The sequence below is a fragment of the Homo sapiens genome, chromosome 10, assembly GCF_000001405.40.
Source record: "Homo sapiens chromosome 10, GRCh38.p14 Primary Assembly".
In the NCBI taxonomy this organism is placed as follows: Eukaryota; Metazoa; Chordata; class Mammalia; order Primates; family Hominidae; genus Homo; species Homo sapiens.
In genome coordinates, this window is record NC_000010.11 from 103338220 (window position 1) to 103358491 (window position 20272).

General features: G+C 45.6%; 1 protein-coding gene across 5 annotated transcripts in view, besides 3 other annotated features; it reads right to left on the reverse strand.

Moving 5' to 3' along the window:
• The window catches only part of PCGF6 (polycomb group ring finger 6), a 48345-nt gene extending 35424 nt beyond the window's left edge, over positions 1-12921 (reverse strand). For 2 of the 5 annotated variants that reach the window (NM_001011663.2, XM_047425832.1), the window contains exons 1-6: positions 12488-12921; positions 10681-10780; positions 10497-10593; positions 9176-9231; positions 9019-9078; positions 6805-6913 (exon numbers count right to left, since the gene is read on the reverse strand). In NM_001011663.2, coding sequence (NP_001011663.1) covers positions 6805-6913; positions 9019-9078; positions 9176-9231; positions 10497-10593; positions 10681-10780; positions 12488-12847 — 782 coding nt within the window. In that variant the 5' untranslated portion in view covers positions 12848-12921. Of the gene's footprint in view, positions 1-6804; positions 6914-9018; positions 9101-9175; positions 9232-10496; positions 10594-10680; positions 10781-12487 lie in introns of those variants that run through there. The other 3 variants (XM_047425833.1, XM_047425834.1, NM_032154.4) reach the window with 3 other exon arrangements.
• Positions 12149-12654: an enhancer, noted in NCBI's record as "H3K27ac-H3K4me1 hESC enhancer chr10:105110125-105110630 (GRCh37/hg19 assembly coordinates)". NCBI's record gives its function as "activates a minimal SCP1, AML or CMV promoter by ChIP-STARR-seq in naive H9 embryonic stem cells {active_cell/tissue: H9 hESC(naive)}" and the evidence as "EXISTENCE:reporter gene assay evidence [ECO:0000049][PMID:30033119]".
• Positions 12820-13049: a silencer, noted in NCBI's record as "silent region_2778". NCBI's record gives its function as "represses an Ori minimal core promoter by ATAC-STARR-seq in GM12878 lymphoblastoid cells {active_cell/tissue: GM12878}" and the evidence as "EXISTENCE:reporter gene assay evidence [ECO:0000049][PMID:35858748]".
• Positions 16276-16830: an enhancer, noted in NCBI's record as "NANOG hESC enhancer chr10:105114252-105114806 (GRCh37/hg19 assembly coordinates)". NCBI's record gives its function as "activates a minimal SCP1, AML or CMV promoter by ChIP-STARR-seq in naive H9 embryonic stem cells {active_cell/tissue: H9 hESC(naive)}" and the evidence as "EXISTENCE:reporter gene assay evidence [ECO:0000049][PMID:30033119]".

Here is a 20272-nt window from a genome sequence, read left to right on the forward strand (position 1 = left end):
AACAAGAGAAAACCCTGTCTCAAACAAACAAACAAAAAAACCGGTCAGGTGCAGTGGCTCATGCCTCTAATCCCAGCACTTTAGGAGGCCAAGGCAGGCAGACCACGAGGTCAGGAGATCGAGACCATCCTGGCTAACATGGTGAAACCCTGTCTCTACAAAAAAACAAAAAAAAATTAGCCGGGCGTGGTGGCAGGCACCTGTAGTCCCATCTACCTGGGAGGCTGAGGCAGGAGAATGGCATGAACCCGGGAGGCGGAGCTTGCAGTGAGCTGAGATCGCGCCACTGCACTCCAGCCTGGGAAACAGAGCGAGACTCCATCTCAAAAAAAAAAAAAAAAGAAGACCATAAAACACACATACCCTGTTGGGTGCAGTGGCTCACGCCTGTAATCCCAATACTTTGGGAGGCTGAGGTGGGTGAATCACCTGAGGTCAGGAGTTCGAGACCAGCCTGGCCAACATGATGAAACCCCATCTCTACTAAAAATACAAAAACTTAACCGGGCATGGTGGCACACGCCTGTAATCCCAGCTACTTGGGAGGCTAAGGCAGGAGAATCGCTTGAACCCTAGAGGCAGAGGTAGCAGTGAGCCGAGATCACACCACTACACTCCAGCCTGGACAAGAAGAGTGAAACTCCGTCTCAAAAGAAAAAAAAAATGCATACCCAATTTAGGGGAGAAATCTAATTTCATATTCCAGTAACAGAGAAATTAGTGCAGAGGCTGAACCCACCTCAGTGTTTTTCCTCCTCCAAGTCAAGCAGAGTCAAGCACTGAACCAAATTTGCCCCTGTGCTTCCATCAGACTAAAACTCCCCTTGTCCTGTCATGAAAACAGTTTCCTACAGGTTACCCCCAATAGCCTAACTTTTGCGGTAACATAAATGCTTTTCTATGTAATAAAAAGGGTGAGGTGCAGTGGCTCACGCCTGTAATCCCATCATTTTGGGAGGCCAAGGCGGGTAGATTGCTTGAGCCAGGAGTTCAAGACCAGCTTGGGCAATATGGTAAAAAATTAGCTGGGCATGATGGTGTGTGCCTATAGTCCCAGCTGCTCAGGAGGCTGAGGCGAGAGGATTGCTTGAGTATAGGAGGCAGAGGCTGCAGTAACCTGAGATCGCGCCACTGCAGTCCAGCCTGGGCAGCAGAGCAAGACCCTGTCTCAAGGAGGAAAAAACAGATAAAGGACTGTCTTAGGAGGTACACTGAATACCCATCATAACCAACAATTTCTAAGGTTCAATTTTTATTTACACAGGAGGACCTTAATATATACCTTATGAGTCCAGGTGCAGTGGCTCACGCCTGTAATCCCAGCACTTTGGGAGGCCAAGGCAGGTGGATCACGAGGTCAGGAGTTCGAGACCAGCCTGGCCAACATGGTGAAACCCCATCTCTACTAAAAAATACAAAAATTAGCTGGGTGTGGAGGAGGGCACTTGTAATCCCCGCTACTCTGGAGGCTGAGGTGGCAGAATTGCTTGAAACCGGAAGACTGAGGACTGAGGTTGCAGTAAGCCAAGATCGCGCCACTGCCCTCCAGCCTGGGGAACAAAAGCGAAATTCTGTCTGTCTCAAAAAAAAAACACACACACACACACACACACACACACACACACACACACACACACACACACACACAAAAGCATCTTATGAGGCCAGGTGCAGTGGCTCATGCCTGTAATCCGAGCACTCTGGGAGGCTTAGGCAGGTGGATCATGAGGTCAAGAGTTCGAGACCAGCCTGGTTAACAAGGTGAAACCCCGCCTCTACTAAAAATACAAAAAAAAAAAAAAAAAAAAAAATTCAGGCATGGTGGTATGCGCCTGTAATCCCAGCTACTTCAGAGGCTGAGGTAGGAGAACTGCTTGAACCCAGGAGGCAGAGGCTGCAGTGAGCCGAGATTGTGCCTCTGCATTCCAACCTGGGTGACAAAGTAAGACTCTGTCTCAGGGAAAAAAAAAAAAAAAAAAATATATATATATATATATATATATTTTATATACATACCTTATGAATAAACAAAAGCAATTTATTCAAGGTTACAAAGCTAGAAAACAGCAGAGCTACGACTTAAATCCAGATCTCCTATTCCAAGGTAGGGCTTTTTCCTCTACAGCAGGAAATGCATTAATAATGTAACAACTTTAGTAATGGTAATGACTGCCTTGAGCAGTGTGGTCAAGTCTCATCAGGAAAGCCTGCTATGATTAATTATTGATTTCTGCTACAAGTAAAGAAAGAAGAAATGGTGGCACACCCATCACACGTTTACCATCGTTGTATTACAATATCTGACTTTTCAAAAAAGGTATAAAAAGTGGATCCAAGTTCCTGCTGTGATTAGTGGAAAGTGTTACATTTCCCCAAAATAATTTTTTTTTTTTTTGAGACAGGGTCTTGCTCTGTCACCCAGGTTGGAATGCAGTGGTGCAATCAAACCTCACTGCAGCCTCAAACTCCCGGGCTCAGTCGATCCTCCCCCATCAGCCTCCCTAGTAGATGGGACTACAGGTGCATGCCACCATGGCCAATTAATTTTCTTTTCGTATTTTTTTGTAGAGACAGGGTTTTACCATGTTGACCAGGCTAGTGTCCAGCTCCTGGACTCCAGCGGTTCTCCTACCTCTGCTTTCCAAAGTGCTAGGATTACAGGCATAAGCCACCATGCCTGACCCTCAAAATAATTTTTTAAAATTTAATTTTTTAAAAATATAATTCCTTACAGGCGCGGTGGCTCACGCCTGTAATCCCAACACTTTGGGGGTCCAAGGTGGGCGGATCACCTGAGGTCGGGAGATTGAGACCAGCCTGACTGACATGGCGAAACCCTGTCTCTACTAAAAATAGAAAATTAGCCAGGCATGGTGGCTGGCACCTGTAACCCCAACTATTTGGGAGGCTGAGGCAGGAGAATCGCTTGAACCCGGGAGGTGGAGGTTGCGGTGAGCCGAGATTGCGCCATTGCACTCCAGCATGAGCAACAAGAGTGAAACTCCGTCTCAAAAACAAAAAAAAATCCTTTTAATTTTCTTTTTTATTTTTTTTGAGACGGAGTTTCACTCCTGTCACCCAGGCTGGAGTGCAATGGCACTATCTCGGCTCACCACAACCTCCGCCTCCCGGGTTCAAGTGATTCTCCTGCCTCGGTCTCCCAAGTAGGTAGGACTAAAGGCGCGCACCACCATGCCTGGCTAATTTTTGTATTTTTTGTTTGTTTTTGTATTTTTCGAGACGGAGTTTGGCCCTTGTTGCCCAGGCTGGAGTGCACTGGTGTGATCTCGGCTCACTGCAACCTCCGCCTCTCGGATTCAAGTGATTCTCCTCCCTCAGCCTCCTGAATAGCTGGGATTACAGGTGCAAGCCACCACATCCAGCTTTTTTTTTTTTTGTATTTTTAGTAAAGACGGGTTTCACCATATTGGCCAGGCTGGTCTCGAACTCTTGATGTCAAGTAATCTGCCCACCTAAGCCTCCCAGAATGCTGGGATTACAGGCGAGAGCCACTGCGCCCGGCCAACTCTTTAATTTTCAAATTGTAATTAGCTAGTCATTAAAAGATATTACTCCAGCCTTCTTTTGATTAGTATGAAAACAAAACAAAAGTCACATTGTCACATGTGTAAAAATTCAAACACAATGGCAAGTAAGACTTGTTCCCATCCCAGACTCAATAGACTCCAGTGCCGCTTCCTAGGGGCACTGCCATTAATATGTTCTTTTTTTTTTCTCAGCAGTCTTTCTCTGTCACCCAGGCTGGAGTGCAGTGGCACAATCTCAGCTCACTGCAACGTCCACCTCCCAATTCAAGCGATTCTCCTGTCTCAGCCTCCCAAGTAGCTGGAATCACAGGCACGTGCCACCACACCTAGCTAATTTTTTATACTTTTGATAGAGACAGTGTTTCACCATGTTGGCCAGGCTGGTCTCAAACTCCTAATCTCAAGTGATCCGCCCACCTCGGCCTCCTCAAGTGCTGGGATTAAGAGTGAGCCACTGCACCCGGACTTTTTTTTTTTTTCCTTCAGACAGAGTTTCGCTCTCATTGCCCAGGCTGGAGTGCAACAGCATAATCTTGGGTTACTGCAACCTCCACCTCCCAGGTTCAAGTAATTCTCCCGCCTCAGCCTCCTGGGTAGCTGGGACTACAGGCACCTGCCACAACACCTGGCTCATTTTTATATTTTTAGTAGAGACAGGGTTTCATCATGTTGGTCAGGGTGATCTTGAACTCCTGACCTCGGGTAATCTGCCCGCCTCGGCCTCCCAAAGTGCTGGGATTACAGGTGTGAGCCACCATGCCTGGCCAAGATTTTCTTATATGGCCTTTCAGGAATGGCCTGTACACATAAAAAGTATACGTGTACTTGCGTATTTTCCACCATCCTCTTTTTAAAAAACTTAAGTGAGCACAAGGTACATGGGCTTGCCTTTCTGCACCTTGCTTTTCCCACTTAATACATCTTGGAGACTATTCCACATCATCACACACATTATTATATTAGTGCATACTCATGTATGGGTATACCATTATTTAACCTACTCCCTTATAGAGATATAAATTGCAACACTCTTTAATAATAGAAATTGCTGGATTAAAATTTGGAATTACATGATTTCTTCTAATTTTTCCAAAGGGATCTTTATGTCATTATCATCAACCACTACTATGGGCTTCTTGGGGACATAACAAATCTCTTGCCTTTTAGGGGTTCTTTTCTTTTTGAGACGGAGTCTCTGCCGCCCAGGCTGGAGTGCAGTGGCACCACCTCGGCTCACTGCAAGCTCTGCCTCCTGGGTTCACGCCATTCTCCTGCCTCAGCCTCCCGAGTAGCTGGGACTATAGGCACCTACCACCACGACCAGCTAATTTTTTGTATTTTTAGTAGAGACGGGGTTTCACCGTGTTAGCCAGGATGGTCTTGATCTTCTGACCTCATGATCCGCCCGCCTCGGCCTCCCAAAGTGCTGGGATTATAGGCGTGAGCCACCGCGCCCGGCCTTAGGGGTTCTTAATAACAGTTGAGAGCACGAAGTGGATATACAAGGAGATAAATACAATAAAGCACACACTAGATAATAAATGATACAAGTAGCCTAGAGTTATAAAGAGATGACTGAGAAGTAAAATAGTCATCAGTGATACAACATGAGAAATCTAGATTTTTTCCAAGAAAGGCATTTTAGTTTACTGGGCCAGCCAGTTAAGCGTTTGAAAACTAGTTTGATACATGCCAACTCTGGGACCATGACAGTCTGTTTAACATTGCTGCACTAAAATGGAGTACACCATATGCTACAGTGTATGAAAGAAGCAATTTATAAGTATCTAGCAGGGCACGGTGGCTCACGTCTGTAATCCCAGCACTTTGGGAGGCTGAGGTGGGTGGATCACCTGAGGTCAGGAGACCAGCTTGGCCAACATGGCAAAACCCTGTCTCTACTAAAACTACAAAAATTAGCCAGGCGTGGTGGCATGTGCCTGCAGTCCCAGCTACTTGGGAGGCTGAGGCAGGAGAATCCCCTGAACCTGGGAGGCAGCAGTTGCAATAAGCTGAGATTGCACCACTGCACTCCAGCCTGGGCGACAGAGTAAAACTCTGTCTCAAAAAAAAAAAAAAAAAAGAAAGGTATCTAACTAATTTGGCAAAATCAGGTAAAGTTGAAGAGGAACATACCCTAAGACTCAGTAAATCTACACTCGTGGAGAACTATCTATCTCACATATACACAGGAGATACATATGAATTTGTTTACGGCAACATTGTTTAAAACAGCAACAAGTAAATAAACCAACAAACCTGGAAACAAACCTAAATATTCAACAGAACAGGAAAAGATAAGAAATAATATATTCATTTTAATGGAATGCCAAATAATGGTGAAAATGAATGAACTAGGCTATATATTTCAACAGGGATGAATCACACAATACTGAGTGAAAAGTATACCATTTCAAGTTTGGCAAAAACAATGCTACATATTGCTTAGGAATAGATATACACGTGGCAACCACATGAAAAAAAAAGGCATGGGAATGACAAACACTTTTTTTTTTTTTTTTGAGACAGAGTCTCACTCTGTCACCCAGACTGGAGTGCGGTGGCACGACCTCGGTTCACTTCAACCTCCACTGCCCGATTTCAAGTGATTCTCCTGCCTCAGCCTCCCGAGTAGCTGGGATTACAGGCACCTGCCACCATGCCTGGATAATTTTTGTATTTTTAGTAGACAGGGTTTCACCATGTTGGTCAGGCTGGTCTTGAAATCCTGACCTCGTGATCCGCCCACCTCAGCCTCCCAAAGTGCTGGGATTACAGGCGTAAGCCACCATGCCCAGCCTTTTTTTTTTTTGAGATGGAGTTTTGCTCTTGTCGCCTAGGCTGGAGTGCAATGGCGCGATCTTGGCTCACTGCAACCTCTGCCTCCTAGGTTCAAGAGAGTCTCCTGCCTCAGCCTCCCAAGTAGCTGGGATTACAGGCACCCGCCACCACGCCCAGCTAATTTTTTTTTTTTGTAATTTTAGTAGAGACGGGGTTTCGCCATGTTAGCCAGGCTGGTCTCGAACTCCTGACCTCAGGTGATCCACTCACCTCGGCCTCCCAAAGTGTTGGGATTACAGGCGTGAGCCACTGCACCCGGCCCTTTATACCTTTTTCTAATTATTTCTAATATTCAGTTATTTCATAATTTTCCAAGGGGATGTCAGAAAACTTGATTTTACCTGAGTTCACAATGATTTCCTATTAGGACTTTTAACATTCTTTAAGTTAAAAGGTAAATTTTTAGGGTACTCACCCAATGAACTCCAGTAATAAAGACATATCAAGTTCAGGTGGAATACGAAACACTGATTCTAGGACTTTTTTAGATCTTCCTTTGCTTGAAGGGACTGGCTGTGGAACAGCTATTTAATAGTCAAACAAAAATGTTAATTAAGAATAAAAATGCCATAAATTGAGATCTTTGGAAAAATACACAAGTATTATAATTATGTTGAGTATTTAAAAGATCATAAACCACTCAATCTCCCTGTCTTTAATGACATTGGCTAATCTGTCAAAGCCAGTGAAATGAGAGGCAAGCCTGGGGACCACTCCACAATGGAAGGCAGACATGTGGCTGGCTTATTAGGGACGCAGAGAGAGCTCATTAGAACAGCAACATGTGTAGACAACCCTGCATAAGCACTACTATGTGTCAGGGCTCATACTTAGCACTTCTCATGCATCATCTCATTCGTCCTTACTATAGTCCCATGATATAGGTACCAGTGCTACTGCTTTTTTTTTTTTTCTTAACTAATAAAGAAACTGAGACCGCCAGTCGCCATGGCTAATGCCTGTAATTCCAACCCTTTGGGAGGCCAAGGTGGGTGGATCACCTGAGGTCAGGAGTTCGAGACCAGCCTGGCCAACATCGCAAAACCCTGCCCCTACTAAAAATACAAAAATTAGCCAGGCATGGTGGCATGTGCCTGTAATCCCAGCTATTTGGGAGGCTGAGACAGGAGGACCGCTTGAGACTGGAAGGCGGAGGTTGCAGTGAGCCGAGATCATGCCACTGCACTCCAGCCTAGGTGACAAGAGAGAAACTCTGTCTCAAAAAAAAAAAAGAAACTGAGGCTTAGAGAGAGTAAGCAATTTGTGTAAAGTCACTCAGCTAAGTCAAGGAACCAGGATTTAGGCCAAGCAAGGTGGCTCATGCCAGTAATCCCAGCACTTTGGGAGGCCGAGGTGGGTGGATCACTTCAGGTCAGGAGTTCGGGACCAGCCTGGCCAACATGGTGAAACCCCATCTCTACTAAAAATACAAAAAAAATTAGCTGGGTGTGGTGGCACATGCCTGTAATCCCAGCTACTCAGGAGGCCAAGGCAGGAGAATTGCTTGAACCTGGAGGCGGAGGTTGCAGTGAGCCAAGATCATGCCACTGCACTCCAGCCTGTGCGACAGAGCAAGTCCATCTCATTTAAAAAAAAAAAAAAGCCAGGCGCGGTGGCTCACGCCTGTAATCCTAGCACTTTGGGAGGCCAAGGTGGGAAGATCACCTGAGGTCAGGAGTTCAAGACCAGCCTGACAAACATGGAGAAACCCCGTCTCTATTAAAAATACAAAATTGGCCAGGCACAGTGGCTCAAGCCTGTAATCCCAGCACTTTGGGAGGCCGAGGAGGGCAGATCACGAGGTCAAGAGATTGAGACCATCCTGGCCAACATGGTGAAACCCCGTCTCTACTAAAAATACAAAAATTAGCTTGGCGTAGTGGCGGGCGCCTGTAGCCCCAGCTACTCAGGAGGCTGAGGCAGGAGAATCGCTTGAGCCCAGAAGGCGGAGGTTGCAGTGAGCCAAGATCATGCCACTGCACTCCAGCCTGGTGACATCTCAAAAAATAATCATAATAAATAAATAAAAATACAAAATTAGCCAGGTGTGGTGGCGTGTGCCTGTAATCTCAGCTACTTGGGAGGCTGAGGCAGGAGAATTGCTCAAACCCAGAAGGTGGAGGTTGCGGTGAGCTGAGATCACAGCATTGCACTCCAGCCTGGCAACAAGAGCAAAACTCCGTCTCAAAATAAAAAGAACCAGGATTTAAATCCAAATCTATTTCATGTCCATTCCGTGACATTACATCATCATAAAAACTAACGTTTGAACAGTTACTGTGTGCCAGGCACTGTTTTAAGTGCTTATATTACTCAATATATTTTTTTAAATGAAGTGGTATGATTATCATTATTTTGTAGATGAGGAAACAGACATTTACGTATGTAACTGGCTTGGCTTAAGTTATACACCTCATAAAGTGGCAGGGCTAGGAACAAACTCAGAGAATCTAGCTCCACAGTCTGCAATCTCTAATTTTTATAAATAAATTGGATTACACACAGCATTACCTTCAAAATCTCTCTGATCATATAATAAGCTACCCCCAAAAGGAACTTCAAAGGGCATATATTTTATTGTTAGTATTCTTTAATCTGTAAGTACATTATAGTATACACCCAAACTTACCAGGTTTAGGTACTTCTAGACCTCTTTCTTTATAGAAATCATGCATTTGCTTTTTTTCTCCTAAAAAATGATAAAACACAGACTAAATTACACTTAAAATGTAACTACTAGAGTCAGAGATTCTGGGATTCACAACCATGTAATAAAAGAAACTTACTTTCCTCTAGATTGATCACTAATTTGTACACTATGTCTTGTAACTGTCGGTCCAACCTAATAAAAGGAAAGGATGGAGAATACCTCAGAATTCAGAAAAATGCATTTTGGTACAGAGTGAGTTAATTGTGTTTTCTCTTGAGAGTGGGTATCTTTTTTCTCAGAGGTGAGTTACTTTTAAGTAGCATTTACAGTTCCTAAAATATAACTCACTCAAGAAAACCTTAAGTAAATATATGTAATCATAAGTATTCACAGATTCTTGAATGGGTCACTAAACTGTTTCATGTGCATTGTTTTTTGTGTGTGTGTGTGACAAGGTCTCACTTTTGTCACCCAGGCTGGAGTGCAGTGGCTCAATCATGGCTCACTGCAGCCTCCACTTCCTAGGCTTAGGTGGATTTTTCCCACCTCAGCCTCCTTAATAGCTGGGACTAAAGGCGCGTGACACCACGCCTGGTTAATTTGATTTTATTCCCTTCATAAGAATACGAGTTGAGGGCAGAGACTGTATTTTGAACTTCTGTCTATCATCTGCAAAGCACTCCTGTGTGAAGGTAGTAAAAATCAATAGTATTTGTTGAATAACAGTAATCTACTGTTAGTATTTTTCCCTCTCTTAAGAAACTGAGTATGAACTGGAAATTTGAATAATAAGCCACAATGAGCTAATGACAAATGGGCTTTACTAAAGAGGCCAGTTGTTTCAGGTATTACTTCTAAAAAAACAGAATTTGGAATACCTATATACTGGAAATGAAAAGCCTAAACTAGCCTCATTAACCTGAGTAAGTGATGGGATTAAAATTCTCAGGAAAAAGGCCTGTGCCTCTTTTAAGTCCTCAGCAGATATTACAGTGCCTAGTACATAGTAAGTGCTCTATACATATTTCTTAAAAGAATATGTAGTTCCCTTTTAATTTTGAGAGAGGTCAAGAGTTTTTTTGTTTTTTTTTTTTTTGAGATACTCTCATCAGTCTGTCGCCCAGGCTGGAATACAGTGGCACGATCTTGGCTCCTGCAACCTCTGCCTCCCAGGTTCAAGCGATTCTCCTGCCTCAACCTCCCAAGTAGCTGGGATTACAGGCATGTGCCGCCACTCCTGGCTAATAGTGGAGATGGGGTTTCACCATGTTGGCCAGGTTGGTCTTGAACTCCTGATCTGAAGTGATCCACTCACCTCGGCCTCCCAAAGTGCTGGGATTATGGCATTAGCCACTGAACCCATCCTGAGAGGTCAATAATTTATTCCAACTATATAACTTCAAGCTTTCAGAAAAAGTATATTTAAAATACAATTGTAATTTATATATTCTTCTTACCTTATGTTATAAAGAGGTTGTGTCTGATGTACTACTATATTGCATTTTGGACATCTGTTGCTGTAGTAAAAATGTCTTACGATGCAGCTTTTACAAACTGTTGAAAAAGAATGTTGAAGTCAGGATGCTTTCAAGACATTTCAAAAACTGAAAAATTATTCAGAAATGTGATCGGTATGCTTACAGGTATGAAGACATTCTGTGATGGTAGTTGCATCTATTAAGTAACCTTTGCAAATGGAACACAAGATGTATGGGGTCAGCTCAGAGAGATTAATCAGGCGCTGCAAATAAACGGAAACAGTTTTAAAATACAAGTCCTTGCCTTTTACAAATTCTTTTTTTTTTTTTGAGACAGAGTCTCACTCTGTAGCCCAAGCTGAGTGCAGTGATGTCATCTCGGTTCACTGCAACCTCCGCCTCCTGGATTAAAGCGATTCTCCTGTCTCAGCCTCCCGAGTAGCTGGGATTACAGGCGCGCACAACCACGCCTGGCTAATTTTTGTATTTTTAGTAGAGATGGGGTTTCACCATGTTGGCCAGGCTGGTCTCGAACCCCTGGCCTCAGGTGATCCACCCGCCAAGGCCTCCCAAAGTGCTAGGATTACAAGCATGAGCCACCGCGCTCAGTCCACCTTCTTCAAAACCTTAAACCATAATCTCAAAATGTCATTGCAACATGGAAACATACACCTCCAACCCATTAAAAGACTACTGAAAGTTACAATAATAACACAATATAAATTATTGTTTCTTTCTTTCCGTTTTTTTTTTTTTTTTTTTGAGAGGGAGTCTGCCTCTGTCGCCCAGACTGGAGTGCAGCGGCAAGATCTCGGCTCACTGCAACCTCCGCCTCCCAGATTCAAGTGATTCTCCTACCTCAGCCTCCTGAGTAGCTGAGATTACAGGCGCGTGCCACCACGCCCCGCTACTTTTTGTATTTTCAGTAGAGAAGGGGTTTCACCGCTTTGGTCAGGCTGAACTCCTGACCTCGTGTTTCGCCTGCCTCGGCCTCCCAAAGTGCGGGGATTATAGGCGTGAGCCACACCGCGCCCAGCCAAATTATTGTTTCAAAAGGATCTTTACGCTGGGCGCAGTGGCTCACGCCTGTAATCCCAGCACTTTGGGAGGCCGAGGCGGGCGGATCACGAGGTCAGGAGATCGAGACCATCCTGGCTAACACGGTGAAACCCCGTCTCTACTAAAAATACAAAAAATAAGCCGGGCGTGGTGGCGGGCGCCTTGTAGTCCCAGCTACTCTAAAGGCTGAGGCTGGAGAATCGCTTGAACCTGGGAGGCGGAGGTTGCAGTGAGCCGAGATCGCGCCACTGCACTCCAGCCTGGGCGACAGAGCGAGACTCCGTCTCAAAAACAAAACAAAACAAAACAAAACAAAAGGATCTTTACTGCCTAGTAAGCAGTAGCTTCAATAATTATACAGGACAGGCAACGTGGCTCACGCATGTAATCTTTCGGAAGGCCAGAGAGGGAGAATCTCTTGAACCCAGGAGTTCGAGAACAGCCTGGGAACATAGGGAGCCCTCCTCGCTACAAAAAAAAAAAAAAATGTTTAATTAGCCCGGCGTGGTGGCGCGTGCCTGTAGTCCCAGCTACTCCGGAGGCTGAGGCGGGAGGATCGCCTGAGGCCAGGAGTTGGAGGCTGCAGTGAGCCATGGTCGCGCCACTGCACTCCAGCCTGGGAGACCCTGTCTCAAAATAATTATAATTATTAACAGAACGAATGAGTTGGACTCGCAGAGCCTAAGTGACCTGCAAGAACTTCACAAAATAAGCGGGTAAAGACCCAGGCCGGGCCGGAGGCCTGTCGGCGCCACACGCCTAGGCAGCCGGGGCAGAGGTCGGGGGAGGTCCGCTCCAGTGCTCCGCGCGGCGGCGGCGCACTAGGATCGGGCCGGCGCCCGGCAGACGAGGGCCAGCTACGTCCCTGACGCCGCTTGGGCCCAGCGGGGTCGCGCGGGGGCTCTAAATACCTCCTCCTCGTCCTCCGAGTCCTGCCGGCCTCCCTCCAGCCTCAACGAGAAGTGACTCATGTCCTCCTCCTCCTCCTCTTCTTCCTCCTCCAGCTCCTCTTCTTCTTCCAACTCCTCGTCCTCGTCCTCGAAGCGGCCTCTGAAGCGGCCCAGGCTGCGCTCCGGCTCCAGCTCAGGGGGCCGGGAGCCGGAGCAGCCGGGAGCCCCCGTCTCAGACAGAGGCGCCGGTCCCTCCTCACCCGCTGCGGGTGCAGGGGTGAGGGCGGGCGGGGAGACAGGAGGCGGAGGCGGCAAGGCTGCAGCTCCCTCGGTTTTGGCAGCGCCTACGCTGCCCGCCGTCACCACCGCGACCCCCTCCATGGTCGGGAGAGACACCAGGCGAGGCGAGGCGGCGGGAGAGCGCGGGAGTTCGGCCGGCCTCGGACGCCACCACTGCGCAGGCGCGGCAGCCTGAGGGGCTCGCCGGGAAATGTGGTTTAGCGGCCCTCACCTCCGCGGGGCGCAAACCCTGCAGCTCCGGGGCAGGCTGCGGGGCGCGCGGGCCGCACTTTAAAGGAATCTCACCAGATTTTCTCCTTGGAAGGGGACGCTCTCTTCGCCGCCTTTTAAAAACAGCAAAATTGCTACCGTTCCAAGCAACAATATTCTGTTTGCATCACCTAATTCACAGAGCACTGAACTAGGTAGCATGTGACGTTGCATCACAAATAATAATCATTTCCACTTGAGTACCAATTATGCATTTCCTCTGTGGCAAATCACCTCCATCCAAGATTATTTCCCTTAGGAAGTATAAAGTTCCTGTTCTGAAGTATGTACGTTTATTTATTTTAAGGAATTATATAGTGTATTGATACAAGGTGAAAATCTAATCACTACTCAAAGATCATCCATGTCACCCCATCCCATAAAGCCCATTATATTGAATTCGAAAAGCTTTTTTTTTTTTTTTTTGAGACAGTTTCGCTCTTGTCGCTCAGGCAGGAGTGCAGTGGCGCTCACTTGCAACCTCCGCCTCCCGGGTCCAAGCGATTCTGCCTCAGGCTCCCAAGCAGCTGGGACTACTGGCGCCTGCCACCACGCCCAGCTAACTTTTGTATTTTCAGTAGAGACAGGGTTTCACCATGTTGACCAGGCTAGTCTCAAACTTCTGATCTCAGGTGATCCACCCGCCTCAGCCTCCCAAAGTGTTGGGTTACAGGCCTGAGCCAGGGCGCCGGGCCCAACAAACATTTATTGAGGGCCTACTGTAGCAGAAACTCAGACCCACCCAGGTACAACCCACCCCATTGCCCAATTTTATTAAGAGAGGTTTGGAGTTGGCTTAACATTATTCTTGCTAGTCCGGGCGCGGTGGCTCACACCTGTAATCCCAGCACTTTGGGAGGCCGAGGCGCGCAGATCATGAGGTCAGGAGTTCAAGACCAGCCTAGCCAACATGGTGAAACCCCGTCTCTACTAAAAATACAAAAATTAGCTGGGCATGGTGGCGCGTGCCTGTAATCCCAGCTACTTGGGAGGCTAAGGCAGAAGAATCACTTGAGCCCAGGAGGCGGAGCTTGCAGTGAGCTAAGATCGTGCCACTGCACTCCAGCCTGGGCTACAGAGTGAGACTCCATCTCAAAACAAAACAAAACAAAACAAAACAAAACAAAAAACAAAAAAACCATTATCCTTGCTAAGATAATGCCAGCTAATGTCACGATGCCTGCAAGAAAGATTCGGGAAGTCAAATGCTCCTAATCAAATAATGCCTGGCAAAGTCACATTTAAGAGCTGAATGTGACCAGGCACAGTGGCTCCCGCCTGTAATCCCAGCACTTTGGGAGGCTGAGGCAAGCGGATTGCCTGAGGTTGGGAGTTAGAGACCAGCCTGACCAACATGGAGAAACCCCATCTCTACTAAAAATACAAAATTAGCCGGGCATGGTGGCGCATGCCTGTAATCCCAGCTACTCGAGAGGCTGAGGCAGGAGAATCACTTGAACACAGACGAGGTGGAGGTTGCGGTGAGCCGAGATCACACCACTGCACTCCAGCCTGGGCAACAAGAGCAAGACTCCATCTCAAAAAAAAAATAAATTTTAAAAATATGGCCAAGCGAGGTGGCTCATGCCTGTAATCCCAATGCTTTGGGAGGCTGAGTTGGGCGGGTAACGAGGTCAGGAGTTTGAGACCAGCCTGACCAACATGGTGAAACTCCATCTCTACTAAAAATACGAAAATTAGCCGGGCATGGTGGTGCACACTTGTAATCCCAGCTACTCAGGAGGCTGAGGCAGGAGAATCACTTGAACCCGGGAGGCGAAGGTTGCAGTGAGCCGAGATCGCACCACTGCACCCCAGCCTGGGCGACAGAGTGAGACTCCGTCTCAAAAAATTAAAATACAATAAAATAAAATAAAATAGCTGAATGTGTGCCAGGGGTGGTAGCTCATTGCCAGCCTGGGCGCCAGAGCGAGACCCGGTCTAACAACAACAAAAAAAAGAAAATGCTGAATGTGTTGTCTAGGGAATTGATGAGGAAATCAAGTCATGGTGTTTCCTTGGGGAACAGTGAACCAAGTTAAGTATTCCCATTGCTTCTGGACCAGACCCCACCTCTCCTTCTCCAGTCCCAACGTCTGGTCAAGTTTGAGATACTGAAGTCTGCAAGACCCAAGAAGGAATGGAAGGAAGAAAATGTCTTCTAAAACATGGAGGAGGTGTAGACTCCAGAGGGCTGGAAATAAAAACGACTATAGTATTGAAAAAGAGTGCCTCAAGTGGATGTTGGTGGAGCTCTACAGTAATTCCACATAGTCAGAGTTCAAGAACAGCCTGGGCAACACAGTGACAGCTCATCTCAAAAACAAAAACAAAACATGCAATCCAATTTCAAAATGGACAAAGAATCTGAATAAACATTTTTCCAAAGAGACTATATCAATAAGCATAAGAAAAGATGGTCAACATCATAAGTCTTCAGGGAAATGCAAATCAAAATTACAATAATATGCTAGTTCACCCTATTAGGTTTTTTTTTTTTTTTTTTTGAGACAGAGTCTCGCTCTGTTGCCCAGGCCAGAGTGCAGTGGCATGATCTCGTCTCACTGCCACCACTGACTCCTGGCTTCAAGCAGTTCTCGTGCCTTGGCCTCTCAGTAGCTAGGACTACAGAAGTATGCCACCACACCCAGCTATTTTTTGTAGACATGTGGTTTTGCCATGTTGGTCAAGCTGGTCTCGAGCTCCTGACCTCAAGTGATCCATCTGCCTCTACCTCCCAAAGTGCTGGGATTACAGGTGTGAGCCACTGTGCCCGGCCTACTTCACCCATTAGGATGGCTATAATAATAAACAGATAATAAAAAGTTTTGTGGAGGTTGTAGAGAAATGGGAACCCTCACACATAGCTGGTGAGAATGTCAAATGGTGCAGCAACTTTGAGAAACATTCTGGCAGTTCTCAAAAGGTTGAACATAAAGTTACCATGTGAGCCAGCAATTCCACTCCTAGGTATATAAAGAAAAATTAAAACATATGTTCACACAAGAACTCTTACATGAATGCTCATACCAACATTATTCATAGTAACAAATAATTAGAATGAACTCCAATATCCATCAACTGATAATGGGTAAATAAAATCTCATTGATCCACTCAGTGGAATATTATTTAGCCACATTTTATTATTTCATAAAAAATGAAGCAATGGGCCAGGCGCAGTGGCTCACGTCCATAATCCCAGCACTTTGGGAGGCTAAGGTGGGCTGGCGGATCACTTGAGGTCAGGAGTTTGAGACCAGTCTGGCCAACATGGTGAAACCCTGTCTCTACTAAAAATACAAAAATTAGCCGGGCATGGTGGCATGCGCTTGTAGTCCCAGCTACTCAGGAGGCTGAGACAGGAGAATCACTTGAACCCAGGAGGCAGAGTTTGCAGTAAGCCAAGATCATGCCACTGCCCTCCAGCCTGGGCGACAGAGCAAGACTGTCTCAAAAAAAAAAAAAAAAAAAAAAGCAGCAGCAATGGCCAATCAGCATATGAAAAACTGCTAAGTATCACTAATCATTAAAGAAATGCAAATCAAAACCACAAGGAGGCTACTCATGTCTGTAATCCTAGTACTTTGGGAAGTAGAGGCGGGCAGATCACTTGAGGTCAGGAGTTTGAGACCAGCCTGGCCAACATGGTGAAATCCTGTCTCTACCAAAAATATAAAAAATAGGCCGGAGGAGATGGTTCACGCCTGTAATCCCAGCACTTTGGGAGGCCAAGGCGGGCAGATCACCTGAGGTCTGGAGTTCGAGACCAGCCTGACCAATATGATGAAACCCTGTCTCTACTAAAAATACAAAATTAGCTAGGCGTGGTGGTACACACCTCTAATCCCAGCTACTTGGGAGGCTGAGACAGGAGAATCGCTTGAACTCGGGAGGAGGAGGTTGCAGTGAGCCGAGATCGCGCCATTGTACTCTAGCCTGGGCAACAAGAGTGAAACTCCATCTCAAAATAAAATAAAATAAAATAATTATATATATAAATTAGCCAGACATGTTGGCATGAGCCTGTAATCCCAGCCAAGATCACACCACTACACTTCAGCCTGGGCAACAGAGTGAGACTCCACCTCAAAAAAAAAAAAAAAAAGACAAATACTATATGATTCCACTTATATGCGATACCTAGGGTGGTTAAGGTCATACAGGCAGAAAGTAAAATCCTGGTTACCAGGAGCTGGGCAGAGGAGGAATGGAGAGTTTCTGTTTTACGGGTTTGGAGTTTCAGTTTGGGAAGACGAAAAGAATCTGGAGATGGAGGGTGGTGATGGCTGTGCAACAGTGTGAATGTACTTAATGACACTGAACTGTACATTAAATATGGCTAAAGTGGTAAATTCTATGTTTTAGATATATTGTACCACAATATAAAGTAATACATATGATAAAGAATTAAGGCTGGGCGCAGTGGCTCACGCCTGTAATCCTAGCACTTTGGGAGGCTGAGGTGAGTGGATCACCTTAGGTCAAGAGTTTGGGACCAGCCTGGACAACGTGGTGAAACACTATCTCTACTAAAAATACAAAAAATTAGCCAGGCATGGTGGCGCATGCCTGTAATCCCAGCTACTCAGGAGGCCGAGGCACGGGAATCGCTTGAACCCGGGAGGCAGAGGTTGCAGTGAGCTGAGATCGTGCCATTGCATTCCAGCCTGGGCAACAAGAGAGAAACTCTATCAGAACAACAAAAACAAAAAATTAAAACAACATGAGAAAGTATATAAAATAAAATATTGAAGTCCTTTCCCATAATCCCCGTTCATGGACTTGAACACACTTACACTTTCTAAAATACCTGGTATTACACCATCATATTCTTCAGAGGACAACCCTGTGAAAGCCAGCGCATACCTGATAATTACTTCCATACTTCTAGCTGTGGAATTCGTGGGTCATAAGGTAGAAACATTTGTATTTTGGCCACATGTTGAAATTGTCAAGTTATTATTTTAGTGAAAATAGGCCTTTTTTTATTGCTGTTGACAGTGTAATCTGTACAACCTTAAAGAAAGCAATTAGGCTGGTGTGTTGGTCCATGCCTGTAATCCCAGAACTTTGAAAGGCCAAGGCAGGAGGATTGCTTGACCCCAGGAGTTCCAGACCACCCTGGCAACATAGTGAGATCCCGTCTCCACAAAAATAAAAAACATTTAAAATTGCCCACAGTAGTAGCACGTGCATGTAGTCCCAGCTACCTGGGAGGCTGAGGTGGGAGGATCACTGAGCCCAGGAGGTCAAGGCTGCAGTGAGCTGTGATCATGCCACTGCACTCCAGCCTGGGCAACAGAGTGAGATCCTGTCTGAAAAAAAATTAAAAATAAAAATGAAAAGAAAGAAATTAGTTAACATATAACAAGAAACTTAAAAATATGTACAACTTTAGACAGGCAGGATGGCTCACACCTGTGATCCCAGTGACTCAGGAGGCTGAGGCGTAGGATTGCTTAAGCCCAGGTATTCCAGGCTGCAATGAGCTATGACAGCATCACTGCACCTAGCACTCCAGCACTCCAGCCTGGGTGACAGAGAGAGACCATGATCACACACACACACACACACACACACACACACACACACACACACACACACACACATTTAAAAATTGGAAAATAAATGAAAATTATCAAAAGAAATAAAGCCAAATAGCTGAGTGTGGTCCTCACGCCTGTAATCCTAGCATTTTGGGAGGCCAAGGCAGGTGGATTGCCTGAGCTCAGGAGTTCGAGACCAGCCTGGGCAACCCAGTGAAACCCTGTCTCTACTAAAATACAAAAAATTAGCCGAGCATGGTGGCATGCGCCTGTAGCCCCAGCTACTTGGGAGGCTGAGGCAGGAGAACTGCTTGAACCTGGGAGGCGGAGGTTGCAGTGAGCCAAGATCGTGCCACTGCACTCCAGCCTGGGCGACAGAGCAATATTCCATCTCAAAAAAAAAAAAAAAAAAAAAAAAAAGAACAGAAAAGAAAAAATGCCAAATAGATACAAGCTTTTTCATGGAAACAGACATGTTGATTTTAAACTTCAATACATCTATGATACGTGATAGAAAAAAAAATATGCAACAATAGCCAGGAAAACACTACAAAGACAAAGCCCCACCTTGGGCAACATGGTAAAACCACATCTGTATAAAAAATACAAAAATTAACCAGGTGTTATGGCCTGTGCCTGTAGTCCCAGCTACTTGGGAGGCTGAGGTGGGAGGATTGCTTGAGTCAGAGAGGTCGGGGCTGCAGTGAGCCAAGATCCTGCCACTGCACTCTAGACTGGGCAACAGAGTGACAGTCTGTCTCTAAAATAAATAAATAACTTTGTTAGGCTGAGGCGGGTGGGTCACTTGGGCTCTGGAATTCAAGACCAGGCTGGGTAACATGGCAAAACCCTGTCTCTAAAAAGAATACAAAAAATAAAAGATTAACTGGGCGTGGTAGCACTCGCCTGTAGACTCAACTACTGGGGAAGGGATAATGGGAGGGTACGCTGAGGTGGGAGGTTTGCTTAAGCCCACGAGGTGGAGTCTGCAGTGAGCCATAATTGTGCCACTGCACCCCAGCTTAGGTGACAGAGCCAGGCCCCGTCTCAAAAATAAAATAAAAATCTATAAGATGTGTTAAAACTCACAAAAGTACATCAAAAAAGTTCAACTTTATTACATGTAAATTAAATGATGATAATGACAATAATAATAAACCATACTGAGATACCATTTCTCACCTATCAGAATGGCAAAAATTTAGGAAGTAACAATTCACTCTGTTGATGAGGCTGTGAGGAAATAGTCACTCTCACACATTGCTGACAGGATTGCAAATTGATACAAACTTTATGAAGGGGAATTCTGCAACACCTGGGAAAACAAAATGTCCACTTATCTTTTCACCTAGTGATCACTCTTCTGGGAATTTATTCTGAAGATACAATCCAACAATATAAAAATACATACACAAAAGGTTATTTAATGCAGCACTGTTGGTAATTACACAATTCTGGAAACTAAATGGCCATACATAGGAGAGTAGTTAAATAAACAATTGAACATCCACAAGATAGAGTACTGTGCAATGCTAAAAAAAGAAAAGAATGAGGAATTTCTCTAAAGACAGTTACGATTTCCAGGATACATTTTTTTTTTTTTTGAGACGGAGTTTCGCTCCTGTTGCCCAGTCTGGAGTGGAATGGTATAATCTCGGCTCACTGCAACCTCTGTCTCCCTGGGTTCAAGCAATTCTCCTGCCTCAGCCT